The following is a 16,087-nucleotide window of genomic DNA, read 5'->3' as shown; positions in this document are numbered from 1 at the left end:
GTTAAATAAATTATGGTTTTTCATACAATGAAATATTTTTCATTTGATAAAAACAAACAAGGAAGTATTCTATGTACTAATTTTGAAAGATTTCTAAGGTATATTAAACAAAAAAGGTCCAGGAAACTATAATATACTACTATTAGCATAAATTGGAAACATCAATATATAGTATTAATTATATATATAAACAATTGTTACTGGGAAGGCGATAGTTGGGAATGGGCAGATGGGAATTATCTTGGAAGGAGTCTTCACTGTATCTTTTTGAACTTTGTAATTTTTGAGTCATGTGAATTATCTATTATTACATTAAATCAATGGTATTAAAAGCAACATCAAAAAATTCTAAAGAAAAAATACCGAAACTTAGTATTGATCAAAATTTTAAAAATCAGCTTTTTTTTTTTTTCCATTTACAATGTGGCTATGTACCCAATTCCCCTTTTCCCGCAGAGTATGAGAACACATTTTTTATAATGAGCGGTATCCAATTGATTTATTGTCCTATAATTCTAAAATTCAGATTATGCTTTTGAGATCCATAAGCTGCATGACATTACTTATAATAATTGCAACTGCAGTTTATTTCACAGTGAGTGACATTTTATACTACCTTTTATTTTGCACCTGTTTTCAATATTTCTGGAACAGGTTCCAATCATTAGGATGAATGTAGTAATTAAGCTTTGACTAAAGATGAATCATCATCCATATATGCTGTGTGAATTTTGATCATTTTAATATTTTGCCAGTGCAAATTGCTGTTAAAACAATTCATTTGCATTTCATCAAGTCCTCTTGTAGACCTTTATTTTCAGTCTTCACATTAGAAACTTGTTTTTTTCTCTGAGTACCGCATAATGCTCCCCATGTGAAAGAAAGATTTTGCATTTCAAGGCGAGGGTAACATTATTTAGTGAATAATAGTGACACCTGCAATCCTTAGCATCTCAGAAAATGCTAATAGGATCAATTTCATGCTCCAAAAATGATGGTTGCAAACCTCTTTCGGCAAAGCAGGACTCCCCTGCTGTTGCTTGGTTTATTTCAACTGTCTGTGTGCTCTTTAGTCTGCCTTGTTCCTGGAGTTTTCATTTTCTCTACTTTTAATCTTAGTATTATAAACATTTGGAGATAGAAAGCTGCTTTCTCTTCACATTAAACAATAAAAATTGGAAACACTAGACTGCATTACGTGTGGTTCACACTAGACATAGTTCAAAACTCATCAGCTGAGTCCCCATACTTGGAGATGTTTTGGCTCTACGTGAAAAAAACTAGAAAATAAATGTACATTTGTACATTTTAAATTCAGATGGAATGTTTAAAGGATGTATAATACTTTTTATTTTTGATTAGTTGATGATATAACCAGTGCTGATGTGTCAGATAAAAGGATTGCTACTGAAATTGAGGGGTTATCTTTTTTTTTTTCTTGTTTTTTGAGACAGAGTCTTGCTCTGTCATCCAGGCTTAGAGTACAATGGTGTGATTTTGGTTCGCTGCAACCTCTCCCTCTTAGGTTCAAAGGATCCTCCCGCCTCAGCTTCTTCAGTAGCTGGGACTACAGGCGCACACCACCACTCCTGGCTAATTTTTGTTTTTTTGTTTTTGGTAGAGCAGGGTTTCGCCATGTTGGCCAGGCTGGTCTTGAACTCCTGGGCTTATGGGATCTGCCTGCCTTGGCCTCCCAAAGTGCTGGGATTACTGTCATGAGCCACTGCATCCAGCCTGGTTATCCTTTTAATCACTCAGTTTGGACTTACGTGTTGTGAGATAGGTGGAAGTCTGTTTTTGGAAGAATGTAATGTTCTCTTAGGATGCAGGCCAAATGATTAGAAATATTTAAGAGAATATCTGAAATAGGGGCAAGATGAAATGAAGAGTGGGAACAAAATGAGAACGCCGTGGGTCCAGAAGTCACATGATTCCTATTTCTGCTAGAAGAAATCCATGACTCAGGTCACAGATTAACAACGCTCCTCCTTCCCCATGGTTTCCTTTAATAAGAGGTAAGCCTTCCATGCCAATATTAAGAATATTCCAAGTGCAGATAATTGGACATAACACCAGCCATTTCTGTTTTGGTGTGAGTGAGTTTTCAGGCTAAGTGTAAGTGACTGAGACTAGTGGGGAGTCCGAGGAGAATAATGTAGGTAGGAAACAGGAAGAAAAGCACAAATACCAGCCTGGAGCAGAATGCAACAGGGTGGACCTTTTTAATTTTGCATGGCTTGAGGAAAATCTATTTGACTACACAGATAAAGTTGTTTTTGATTTTCAGATTGTCCATGCAATCGTTGTCATATTGTTGACCTGAGCAACTGAAAATCTTATTCATGTTGTGCTATTTACCCATTTTATGCTGACCTGCTGTGACACTGACATCTCCATCCTAAATGTATCTGAGTAAATCCATTCATCATGCCATTTTATCTTACTTTGTTTTGGTTGGAGCAAATGGAGCCAACATGAAATTCGTCTTTATTTGTCATATAGCATAATTTGAAGGGAAGTCTCAAGACCTAAATGGATACAGCATAATCTGAATGCTACCGGATTAGGTGCTTTGAGTTTACCATGAAGTCCTAAAATCATTTTCCTTTTTCTTAGGCTTTTGGGAAATAATTGTGCTTTTTATTGAGTAAATTAAGAAACAGAGAAACAAAGCAGCATTGCCACCTTATAGTGGTCACAATTTGAGATTGTTTTATAATATCCTGAACTTGAAACTTTTATTTAAAATTGTGGGGGGCTAAGTAAACTTGTGTATTTATAAGAATAATAATCTTTTCAAAATGTAATTTGAACTTTTATAAACAATTCTATGGTGTAGTCTATTTGCTTTCATTTATAGAGATGCTTAAAAATTATCTCCTATCTTTGTAAAAACCAGGACATTTTCATAAGTCTAGAACCCAGTGGGGCATGGTAACAGTGGAGGAAAGAAGGTATGATTTTTAAGGTAGAAAGAGAGTATTTCTTCTTGCAGTATCTAATAGTGCTATCTTCTTGCTAAGGGAGAGAGAAGGCAACTGGAGGAGTAGGAGACATACTTACAAAGAAAAAAAAAATGAGAAGTAGTATTATGCTGATCTTTGAATTCATTATCAAATGTTTAAAAAGGAAGATTCACATTTGCAGTTATTCTTTCATTTACTCAGGTGGATGCTAAATCTTACATAGAACGATTGTAAAACATCATCAGTTTTATTTATTTGATTGCTAAGATAAAAGTGGTTAAAATACACTCATTAAAATATACTCGTAACTTAAAATTTTATTTTTAATGGTGGTACAGTTAATGAAAGCATACTGTATTTTTGTTTGACTTTAAATCTGATGAAATGTATGTTTGGAAAAAATCTCTCTCTCTGTCTCTTGGTGTGTGTGTTTATGTATCCTAAAGGTTTTCTTCCTTTTCCACCCATCTCCAGACTAACTGTCTCTCACCCTTTATATACTTCAGTCTGGAAGAGAATAAAACCCTTTGAAAGTTGTTTAAAATCGGTATGAAAAAGGGAAAAAGAAAGTAGTCACTATAATTTAGTATCAGTGTATCTGATTCAGCTATATCTCATTCCACTAATTTGATTAATAATGCTTTTTTATTTATGAGAATTTCTAAAACAAATGGTAATTATTGCTGTTTCAGCTGGACTCTGAGTTCCACTTACGTGTTTGAGAATAGCAAGATGTAAATTTTGACAATTTCCTAGCATCATACTTGAAAGAGATGCAGAGGAATACTTCCATGTGAAAACCATGTCAGAGAGGAAGAAAAGTAAATTGTGACAAAAGCATTTATTTGTCTAATATACAGTTAATTTTTAACTACGTTAATGCCTGTTAAATAGAAATTACAAACTATATAGTATCCTATCATATGAAAGTGCTTTGCAACTGTAGGAAGCTGTAATGGTTAATTTTATGTGTTAATTTGACTGGTTCATTGTGCCCAGATAGATGGTGAAACATTGTTTCTGGGGGGTATGCCTGTGAAGGCGTTTTCCTGAAGAGATTAGCATTTGAATTGGTGAACTGAGTAAAGCAGATGGCTTTCCCTAATGTGGCATTGTACAATCCATTGAGAGCCTGATTACCTAATGCGAGATGATGAGTTAGTGGGTGCAGTGCACCAGTATGGCACATGTATACATATGTAACTAACCTGCACATTGTGCACATGTACCCTAAAACTTAAAGTATAATAATAATAAATGAATAAATTAATTAATTAAAAAAAAAAGAAGGCAAAGGCAGATTGGAGTCACCCTTCCTTTGCCTGAATGCTTGAACTAGGATATTGATCTTCTGCCCTTAGTACACCTGGTTCTAAGGGCTTCAGATTTGGACTAGAATGTACACCATTGACTTTCTGGCTGTCAAGTTTTTAAATTATACCACTGACTTTCTTGGGTCTCCAGCTTGCAGACAGCAGATTGTAGGACTTCTCAGCTTCCACAATTGTGTGAGCCAATACCTTATAATAAATATTTCTTTCTATATCTGTATGTGTGTGTGTGTATACATATATATATACACACAACGTATATGTACATTAGATTAGTTCTGTTTTCTGGAGAACCATAATTAATACAGAACTCAAATTCTCATTAAGTTAATAAATATTAAATTGAAGTAAGAAAATGGAAGGGAAAGAAGGAAAAAAGAAATTTTGGTGTGTTTATGATGTCTGTGTTCTAGTGAGCACCTGGATCTTGCCAAGGTCCTGAAGGGAGAGCTGATGCTGGATTCATCCCTGTGTGGAAAACTATAGATTTGTATTGAAGAACATGAGATATAAATAAAAAGCTAGAATACATTTTTGGATTAAAAGATTAATAACATTATGAATCTTCTAAATGTTTACATAAAAATGAAATTCATTTTAAATTAGAACCATCAAACTGATGAAATGTTTAAAAATTTTCATGAAGGAATAAATGGCTGAAATCAGGTAAGTTTTTTTTTTTTTAAAAAAGAGGATTAAAGAAAGGGAGCTTGCCTTACCATGTGAGAACATGCTGTAATTTATTGTATTTGAATCAATATGGCATTGGCATCAGAATAGATCAGTGGAAAAGAATCCAGAATCTGAAAATAGATCCTGGTATGGATGAGAATTTAACATACAGCCAAGGTGGTATTTTAACTCATTGGGAAAATCACGGTTTCCTGCAACATATGGTGTTAGCCCAATTGGCTAATCCATCAGGAAGTAAATAAAATTGTATCACTGACTTACACAATATAGATAAATTTGGGATGAATTAAATATTAAAGTTAGCAACATAACAAGAAACACCTACAGGAAAATCTACAAGATTATAAGTATAAACTAGGGGGAAAAAGAGGACCATTTAAAAAAGTGAATAGAAAAAACAATAGATTTGGAAAAAAAATGTTTGAATGCAGAACACAGAAGATTAATACTATAATAGACAAAGAGTTCTTACAAATGATGAGGAGATCATCCAATAGAAAAATGGGCAAAAGAGAAAAATAGGCAAATCATAGAAGAGTTAATCCCAAAAAGATCAAACTTCTTATAGGCAGGCAAGTACAAATTAAACTAACATTTATATACCTCACACACTGGCCAAACCTAAAAAGAAGGAAAGCACCACTTTCTGCCAAAGAATGGATAGGCAATGGTAGTTTCAGATATTTCTAACAAAAATGTAGTAACTTACATTTTAGCATCCTTTTTGGAATGTAATCTTGTAACATCTATTAGCAGAAATAAATGCATAGGATGCTTTGATCTAGCACTGTCACCCTTAGGAATCTAACTAGTAAAAATAATAGCACCAATGAACATGTATACATAATGTTGATTATAAGAACTGGAAACAAAGTGAATGCCCATAATAGCACATTAATACCATGGGCTATTTTGTAGCCATCAAAAAGACTGTGTGTTAGAAAGATAGTAGGAAACCTGGAGGGATTTCCATGAGGTATGGTTGAGTGAGAAAAGCAGGATGCTGATAAACTGTGTAATAGCCCAGTTTTGAAACATAAGTAAGATCCTCCCACTATAAGTGTATGTGTATTTTGTAAATACTTGTAATTTTATAATCAAAGGAACTTCATCACCTGTTATCTGAGTGGTGGTGGTGGTAGTAATGTGGATAGAGGGGAGGAAGAGAAAAGAGAAGGGGAATGTTCTTGTTTTCTCCTGTTGTGTAACAAATTAACACAAATTCGGAAGTTTAAAATGACATACACTTATTTTCTGTTGCCATGGGTTGAGTCTGGGCACAGCTTAGCTGAATCCTCTGCTCAGGATCTTCTAAAGCTACAATCAAGGTGTTGGCAGGACTGAATTCCCTTCTGGAGCTCAGGATCCTTTTCCAAGCTTGCATTATTGTTGGTAGAATTAATTTCCTCGGGACTGCCTGCCTGATGGCCCTGGCTTCTTACCGGCTGTTGGCTGGAGGCCACCCTTATGTCTCAGAGACCACCTGCAATTCCTTGTCACATGGCCCTCTCCATAGGCAGTTCTGGCATGTCTGTTTGCTTCTTCAGTGCCAGCAGGAGATCTCCTGCTGCTAAATCAGCTAAGATGGAGTCTTACGAAATGAAATACAATCACAAGACTGACATCCCATACCATCACTTTTGCCATATTCTGTTGGCTAGAAGAAAGTTGCATGTCCCACTTATCCAAGGACTGGAGATGATTACGAGAACATGGATCACTGGGGGGGTCAAGAGTAGGGTGTGTCTGTTACAGATGGCCAAGCAAACAATGAAAACAATATTTTAAAAAGACCAAAGCCAAATCAAAAACAGAAATGATTAACATGATCTTATTACATAAAATTACATCTATGTGTTGAATAATTAAAAAAAAACAGACATTAAGAAAAGAAAATTACTTCTACACCTCAGACCATTAGTAATACGTATTTCTACAAGCTTTTCTGAGAGTACTAATACTATACATTGATGCAATATCATGTACTTCCTTGAGTTCTTCATAATGAATGTCCTCTTGGGTTTGGTTGTTTTTCTTCAGTCTTTGTTCTATATTTCATCCATTCTAACATGGTGTTAATTGTCAGAGGATTATTATTTTATGTATTAAAATTAAAGGAAAAGAACTCTAGTTAAACTAGGCTTGCTTAGCAAATTAATTATGAGGTATATGCCAAATTAAAAAATGTTAAAATGTGAAAATATATTTGTCTTATATTTGATGAAACTACTTGAATGTATTTTTTCCTCCAGAAAGCTCTCTAGTTTTCCTGCTGGAAGTTTTTAGATCCCAGTGGGATACCTCCCTTTTCTCAGACATTGCTTACTTCACATCCTTCTATTTCTCTAAAATGAAAATTAGCGATAACAATAATCGGATTCTGGCCAAGTAAGGATAAGCAAAGTCCTCTGAAGTCAGTTAGTTGCTTCTAGGTCACTAGGGTTCCATTTTCAGGTAAAAAAATGCAAACTGTGTGTGTGTGTGTGTGTGTGCACACATACACTTTTTTCATAGAAGCACTGTTAGAGGTGAAAATAGCATTATAAATAATTTGAATTAATTTTTTCTTTCTTTTCTTTTTTCTTTCTTTCTTTTTTTTTTTTGAGATGGAGTCTCACTCTGTTGCCCAGGCTGGAGTGCAGTGGCATGATCTCAGCTCACTGTAACCTCCACCTCCCGGGTTCAAGTGATTCTCCTGCCTCAGCCTTCTGAGTAGCTGGGACTACAGGATTGCACCACCACGCCTGGCTAAATTTTTGTATTTTTAGTAGAGATGGGGTCTCACAAGTTTGGCCAGCCTGGTCTCGAACTCCTGACTTCAGATGATCCGCCCGCCTTAGCCTCCCAAAGTGCTGGGATTACAGGCATGAGCCACTGCACCCAGCAATTTGAATTAATTTTTAACTTTCAGCTGCAGATGTCTGGAAATTTTTTTTTAGGTAAGCACAGCAAATAGACATAATTAAAATATCATGTGTGAGCAATGTTTTTCCTTAGACAAAATGAATGCTAATCAAACTTGAAAAGCTATTTTAAATAAGCTATTTGTTGGAGCAATCTTGAATGCACTGAAAGTGACTCAATGATTTACTTGAAAGAGATTTTATATATATATATTTAAATATAATATATATTTATATTAAATATAATATACATTATATATTATATAATAAATATTAAATATATATATTATATTTTATATATTATATATAAATTTATATATATAATATATATATTTTATTTATATATAATATATATTTATATTTTATATATTATTTATATATAAATAATATATTATTTATATTTTATATATAAATAATATATTATTTATATTTTATATATAAATAATATAATATTTATATTTTATATATAAATATTATTTATATTTTATATATAAATAATATTTATATTTTATATATACATAATATATTATTTATATTTTATATATACATAATATATCATTTATATTATATATAAATAATATATTATATTTTATATATAAATAATATATATATTTATATTTTATATATAAATATAAATATATATATAAAGACATTTGTCCTTTGGTTTTTTTTTTTCTCAAAGGCAATTGCATATTAGGAAACATTTTTTTCTTATTGGATCTACAGTCTAAAGGTATATATATATGTATATATATATGTGTATATATATATGTATATATATATGTATATATATATGTATATATATGTATATATATATGTATATATATATGTATATATATATGTATATATATGTATATATATGTATATATATGTATATATATGTATATATATATATGTATATATATGTATATATATATATATATATAAAGCCATTTGTTCTTTGATCTTTTTTTTTTTCTCGAAGGCAATTACATATTAGGAAACATTTTTTTCTTATTGGATCTACAAGTTGTTGCTAAAAGTTTAGGTTGTTGCTAAAAGTTTATGTATTTATATAATGTTCTCCAGAATGAAGGGAGTCATCATGGTTTTTTTTTATACCAGTGTAAGGATTAATATCACAAACTCTAAAATTAGTTTAATATGTTCAACATGTGTTTGAAATAATCAGAATTTTCAAAAGCAATGGCCTTTAAAGCAGCATTTTAAACAGATAACATTTTAAAATATATCCTTGGGCTTTTTTAAAAAAAATTCAGGTGTCCTTTGCTTCCCTGAAATACTTTGTGGATTTTAAAGTTTCTCACTAACCTTTCTCTGAAATTGAATTCAGATTCAATTGAGTGTTATTCTGGTTTTCACCAGTAAAAAGCTTTAACTAGAACTCTCAAGATCTATTCACATTTGCTGTTTCAAAGTGAGCTGAAGATATAGCTATCTGGTGTTTAAGTTTGCTTTTTGTTTTGGAAATTCATGGGAGCAAATCAGACAAGTGTCAAGCTACAGTCTCATTTTCAGTCACTTCCTGCACTTCCAACATGTGGAAGCCCTGCAGATTTCAAAGGCAGCAGGGAGCAGCAGGTGAGCAGGATCAGCTTACCTGTTCCTGCTTTGTCAGCGTTACCATTCTGAGGTGTTTTTTTCCTCTGTCTCTGCCTTTGTCTTTGATCATAGGCATTGTTTGAATTTTATCCCTGTAAATCTTTCTAATTCCCTGTCTTCTCTTTTGTTTTTCTCACATACAGGCAACAGTAGATGCCAGTGTTATGGCATATGTTGCTGTACATGAGGAGGGATGTCTTTATTAGAAGACATCAAGGTTTGAGCTTCTTTTCCTTTGAGCTAGAAGTATGTGATCATTTGGCCTTTTAGCCCTGCACCCCTCAAAAGTACATATTGGCTTTAGGCTATCATATGATACTGACAACTTAAAAGCAATGTAAACTGAACTCAAATTTTCACATTTTTCTGTTACTAAGTCTATTCCCACATGAAACCTGAAAGGAAATTTAGACTCTGTCAGGACCAGTGAGATGGTCTTGTATCCATCCATTCAGCCAAGAGTTATTTTCCTAACCTAGCATAAATTGGTACTACCTCTATCCTGTTCCCTAAAGCAGAGAGATTTCTTCAAGGCATGGTCTCTGCATGTAGGCAAGTGCCCTGAACTTAATATCAATTGTTAAGAGTCCAGAAGAGACAACAAATATTTGGAAGAAATAGTCAGAAAAAGTTAAACTAACTACCTATTTCTCCAATCTCTGTACCCGTGTCAAGTCCAAGCACCAGAACATCTTGTACTCCTGGGAGGACCATCTCACCTCACTGTCATTATATGGTGTTTTATAAGATTTTGTCTTTGCTCAGGTTGCTATAACAAAATACCATAGAATGGATGTTAAACAACAATTAATTTCTCACAGTTCTGGATGCTGGAAAGTCCAGGCTACTGGCATGGTCAGGATCTAGTGAGGGATCACTTTCTAGCTTGCACACAGCCACCTTCTTGCAGTATCTTCACATGGCAGAGAGAAGCAGCTCTGGTGTCTCTCCTTCTAATCTCATCGCTAATCCCATCATAAGTGTTCTACCATTCTCACGATCTCATCTAAATCTATCTAATCACCTCCCAAAGGCTCCACTTTTTAATACCATTACACTGGGGATTAGAGCTTCAACATATGAAATTTTGGGGGCACAAGCAGGGGGTTGCAAGGGTAATATTAAGGTGGAATTGTAGGGGGCAGCTGAAGTATGGAAAGAGGTTTGGGGTTAGCTAGGTTTGCTGGGCTCCCTGTGGACTGGCTAATTTGAATTGTTTCTCAATCTCTGGGGCATGGAACTGTTCTTGGTTGTCTGGTATCTGGCCCCAGGGCAATTAGGACACGTGCATAGTGGCCCAGGTTCTGAGAGCCCAATAAGAAATGTGGTTGAGGTATAGACTTAATAATCAGCTGCTCAAGAAGGGGACTGACAGGCCTCTAGCCAGGGCCTCAAAACTGGCTCAAGACAGAAATTTACAAAAAATTATATTGCTCATGGTTGCCAGGAACAGATTTCATATGACCCAGCTTTCATTAGGGGTTGGTATAAGGGCTGGCCATAAAAGAAAGGTTTCTGCGTCTTTTAAAAAGTGCTATTGGAAATAGTGTTCATTGGTCCCCATGATATCAGTGTAAAGACTTACCATATACATTCCTCTTAGGATCTAGTACTATTGACAAATGTTTCTGAATCCACTGGTATGTGAGCATCTGATTATTGGCTAACAAATGCGGTGGCTTCTGTTTCTCCTTTTGAGTACAGACCTTTTCAATAAGCAGCTGCAGCCAGGAGTAGAGGTGCCCACCTGTGCCTTGAGCATAGTAGCTAGCAGGAGGCTTATTACGTATTTTAAATCAGGAGACACAAAGTTAAATTTTTGTGGCTGATATTGAGCAGGCATTTATCTTTTTTGGATTTCAGTGTAAAATGGGAATAAAACCAAAACCTGTCTTCTTCTTTTTTTTTTTTTTTTTTGAGACGGAGTCTCGCTCTGTCCCCCAGGCTGGAGTGCAGTGGCGTGATCTCAGCTCGCTGCAAGCTCTGCCTCCCGGGTTCACGCCATTCTCCTGCCTCAGCCTCCCGAGTAGCTGGGACTACAGGCGCCCGCCACTACGCCCGGCTAATTTTTTGTATTTTTAGTAGAGATGGGGTTTCACGGTGTTAGCCAGGATGGTCTCGGTCTCCTGACCTCGTGATCCGCCCGTCTCGGCCTCCCAAAGTGCTGGGGTTACAGGCGTGAGCCACCGCGCCTGGCCTGTCTTCTTATCTAAAGGGTTTGTATAATGTTCAAGCAAGCTGATGGTTGAGAAAACTTATGTCACGGTGTTTCATTAAATAATAACGTAATCCAAATAACCTAGGCTGTAGCCTATGGGCAGAAATGAAGTCAATGATATTAACATCCAAATGAAGACAGTTTTTTGTAGTTACAGCCTGCTTATGCAAGACCTGCCCTCCACTCCTAAGGCTCTCTCTTTATATCTACATGTCTTCGGAAGATGTCTTGTAGGTAGTCAGGGGTCTCTGTGCCCCCTCACTAGTGTCCCTTCACTAATGGCTCTTCTGCTATTATCTCCTATGAGGACACTCTCTTCTGTGCATTAGAAGTCAGTTTGCTGGTAAGAACCCTGCGTCCCAGGCCATGACCCTAGTCTGTGAAAGAGCAGGTAAAATATCAACTGCTTTAATGTTTTTTTTCTGTCTTTTGGGCCCTGTGACAAGACTTCTTGAGACTCCTTGTGCCTGAAATGGAACACAGGCTATCCTAGAGAAGTGTACTATGTCTTTCTGCTTTTAAACTTCTCTCTACATGCAATGTCTATACCAGTCTGTTGGCTGGGCAGAAAGGATGGTAATTGTGCTGTCACCTCCATCCTCATTTCTTTCCTCTCATTAGATTCCCAGCTTAGTGTATGCATATGCCTACCTATTCATATCTTTTCCTCCTTCTTCTTGCCAGGCCCCAAAGCATTTACAGATGTCAACTTATGCACATAGATAGTGGCAGAGTTTTAATTCAACCACTTGTGCAAACTGCAGTTCAGTGTGGACCAAGTAAAACACTGCATTTCAATAATAATAATGTTGTTGAGTGCCATTTATTGTTAATTAAGCCATATCCTCTTTTGGGTGGTGTTGTTCTAACTATGCTCCCTACCCACAGACTCTGCTATTAGAAAAATACTTCCATCCACTGAAGATTGTTTTTTGAGACTCCATCTCTGAATATGTCCTTGAATCTGTGTCTTTCTTGCTGTTGACTCTGTGCTTATTGTTCCAGTTTTCTTCTCATTTTGGACCTATACTTATGTTGTGTTTCACCAGGCTCTCAGAGTCCCTAATTTCTGGGGCAGTCTTGGCTACTATCAAATCTAGCTCAGCCTTCTGAGATCTCAGCCCAGGTCAGTACCTTTGCTTCCTACTGACCTGGGAGTGGATAATCGGCAGCTTGGATGTAGGATGGTATGAACCAATTTGTAAAATTAATATACATTCATTCCTATCATTTCTGTGTAGACCCCATATAAAGGGCATTTATTTTTCTTTATGGCAAAAAAATTTGGAAGACTGCTTGGAAGTGTGCTTCCAACACTTACAAAAGACTACTTGGCTTGCTAAGAACTTACTTCAGGATAGTTTATCTTACTCATTTTGGAAACTATCACTGCACAGTTTTCCTTCTCGTGTTTATTTTCTGACCTAATGAGACAGAGCAGTGGTGCTCAGCACTGGCTGCACATTTTAAATTACCTTGAGTAGTTTTTAAAAATATACCCCACTCAATTCTGATAAATTAAATCAGTATTTCTATAGATGGTTCCAGGACATGGACATTAAAAACAATCTTGTCACGTGTGTTTAATATGCAGCTAGGGTTTAGAACCACTTGGATTAGAGGACTATATCAAAACAATCACTTGCTACCTAGTTTTAAATAGTGGTTCTATGTCATACTAAATAGTCTCATTTCTTTCCAGTCATTCTTTTTATGAATAAAAGTATTTAGAGCATACTTAACCCTCAATTCCTCTCTAAGATGGCATATTTTGCACATCTGGAAATGAGATAACCAGTCTATAATGTTCTGTAGTTTACAAATGAAGCCATTAATTAGATTTTCAAATCTCATTCTCCAAAGTCATGAAAATGTGTAATTCTCTCTTGAGGCTATTTCCATTATTAAGTAAATGCATTATAAATTAGCAAACCAAAGGAATATGCATGAACTGTAATTCACATCCTGTAAATTTCATACTAAATCAGAAAGCTCATTTTTCTTCAGGATGTAATGCTGTATTCTTCTTGTCTACCGTCATTCACTTAATTATATAGGAGTTAAATACTTTGAAACCCTCAGGAATTGTATAAATGTTAGAAAAAACAATAAACATTTTGCTATATTCACAAAAATCAAGTTCTAAAAATTTCTTTTGGAAACCAAAAACTATGACAACACATTCAAAGGGAGAGAAAAACAAGGAATTATTTGTATAATGATAACCAAAAAAAAAAATTTTTTTTTAAGTTATTGTAAATGGTTGAAAAACAATTGATGTTATAGAACACAACAGACCTCAGTTTTAAGGATATTAACGGGTATTATTCCTCCTGAGGAGAGTGTGATAGGTTGGAGAGTAAAAAGGATGGAATCTCCTTTTTACTGAGGCTTTTGTGTTTCCAAAAGGCTCAGCCCCTGGGAGGAGATTATATTAGGTGCTCTTTGAAGCAAAAACATTTGATAGAGAAAGTAATTCTTCCACTCTCAAAGCAAGGTTAAGGGAGTGGGGAGTGTCAACTGCAGATAGCAAAAGATTCTCCTAGTTATGAAGGTTTCTGAGTCACAGAGAGAAGGATGGATAGCCCTGCTTCTAAGATATTACCTGGAGATGTGGAAAGATATGAGAAGTTTGTAGAACCCAAGATAGAAAGGGATCTGCTCCCAATTCTCAGACTTAGAGTCTTGGGATGTGGCGGAGTGTCAGAGAGGAGATGGCTGCTTTATGCATCTCGGCAGAAGGGGCACAGAGAACCTTCCAGAGATAATTTCTGTGTCACTAGGAGTATATCCAGGGAGTAGATGAACTGCTGAACCTTAAAGGGCCATGTAGGCAGGAATGCGAATTGTCTCAGCAATGTCTTGTGTGGGCTGATAATTGGATGGGCTGGTGGACAGCATACTGGATATCTGAAGAATCATATGCATTGAGGACAAAATGTGTTCTCCTTAATCCTCTGGCAGTATATAGACACCCAGAATTTAGAGCCCCAGAAAAACTGGAGTTGCGAACTCAAATGAGCTAAGATTAAAGTTTGCCATCCTGGTGAAATGGTGCTTAAAATAGAAACTGAATTTGAGGAAAGAAAGAAAATTATATTTGTGTATATGTAACTTTGTGGAATTAAATCCATAGCATTACATAAGACAACTGAAAAGGAACATGAAAAACATAAATCTTATTATTCTTGTTCTTCTAATGGCATAAGAGGCTTGGATTCATAGCATTCTAGCCTCTGTTTCCTGTTTTAAGAGAATTATAAAATGTATTTTCTCTTTTTCAAATCCTTGTTCTTACTCTTTATTCTAGTTCAGCATGACCCAGTTTGGATGGGGGATAACAATAGAAGATAAATTTTGTTCTTAGAGGAAGGTGCCAACTTATATTTTTGTCAGGATAATTCCACACATATATCTGGACAAATTTATAGATGCTATAATCAAACTTGAAAAAGTACATGGAATAATAGATTTCAATCAGATGTCTGAAAGCAATAAACAAAGATTGAATAACTATTTGTGAAATCATTTTAAGCTTTACAAATCAAATAACTGAAATTCATATTAATATAGAAATGTGTTAATAGTTGTGTTCCCAGAGGCTCAAATTGACTCAATTAATTGTTATTTATTAAATAAAGAAATAAATACATTTTAAAGTTAATAACTTCTTTATTTTATGAGATTCTATACTTGGCTTAATTTCCACCAAAAATCCCAGTAGACTATGTGTCATGGTTTGAATGTTCATCCCCTCCAAAACTCATGTTGAAATGTAACTGCCATTGTAACAATATTGGGATGTGAGGCCTTTAAGAGGTGATTAGGCCACAAAGATTCTACCCTTATGGATGGGTTTGATGCCTTAAAAAAAAACTTCTGGAAGTGAGTTCTCTCTTGCTCCCCAGTGTGTTCTCTTGCGCTTCTGCCTTCTGCCATGTGATGATGCAGCACAAGGGCCCTTGCAAGGTGCTGGTACCATGCCCTAGGACTTTCCAGTCTCCAGAACTGTGAGCAATACATGCCTTTTCTTTGTAAATTACCTAGTCTGTGGTCTGTTATAGCAACACAAAACAGACTGACACCATGAAAACTCAGTGGCATGAAACTCCTGAACTTGCATGTCTAATAACACTTATGTGTCAAAAGGAAATTTTGATAAAAGAAAAAAATCTTGTCCTATTTAATAGGTAATTCAAAGTGATATAAAATCTGCTAGTGTCTTAGAATCTTAGTGTTTCACAATGAGTATTTCCCCATGTCAAAAACCTCTCTGAATAAGAAATATTTCCATGTAGGCACTCACTCCGTGAGTGGCTCTGACAAATTCTGCTGTATTTTGCTCTGCTGCCATGGTTTGCTCATGTTACTCTC

General features: G+C 35.3%; 1 protein-coding gene across 1 annotated transcript in view, besides 1 other annotated feature; it reads left to right on the top strand.

Annotated features, from left to right (window-relative positions):
• The window catches only part of PDE1A (phosphodiesterase 1A), a 576,757-nt gene that overhangs the window by 81,261 nt on the left and 479,409 nt on the right, over window positions 1-16,087 (top strand). The window lies entirely within an intron of this gene.
• Window positions 9,201-9,738: an enhancer, noted in NCBI's record as "OCT4-NANOG hESC enhancer chr2:183490526-183491063 (GRCh37/hg19 assembly coordinates)". NCBI's record gives its function as "activates a minimal SCP1, AML or CMV promoter by ChIP-STARR-seq in naive H9 embryonic stem cells {active_cell/tissue: H9 hESC(naive)}" and the evidence as "EXISTENCE:reporter gene assay evidence [ECO:0000049][PMID:30033119]".

Source organism: Homo sapiens, chromosome 2, assembly GCF_000001405.40.
Source record: "Homo sapiens chromosome 2, GRCh38.p14 Primary Assembly".
Lineage (NCBI taxonomy): Eukaryota > Metazoa > Chordata > Mammalia > Primates > Hominidae > Homo > Homo sapiens.
The sequence above is the reverse complement of the archived record's forward strand: the minus strand, read 5'-3'. Positions and strand labels throughout refer to the sequence as shown.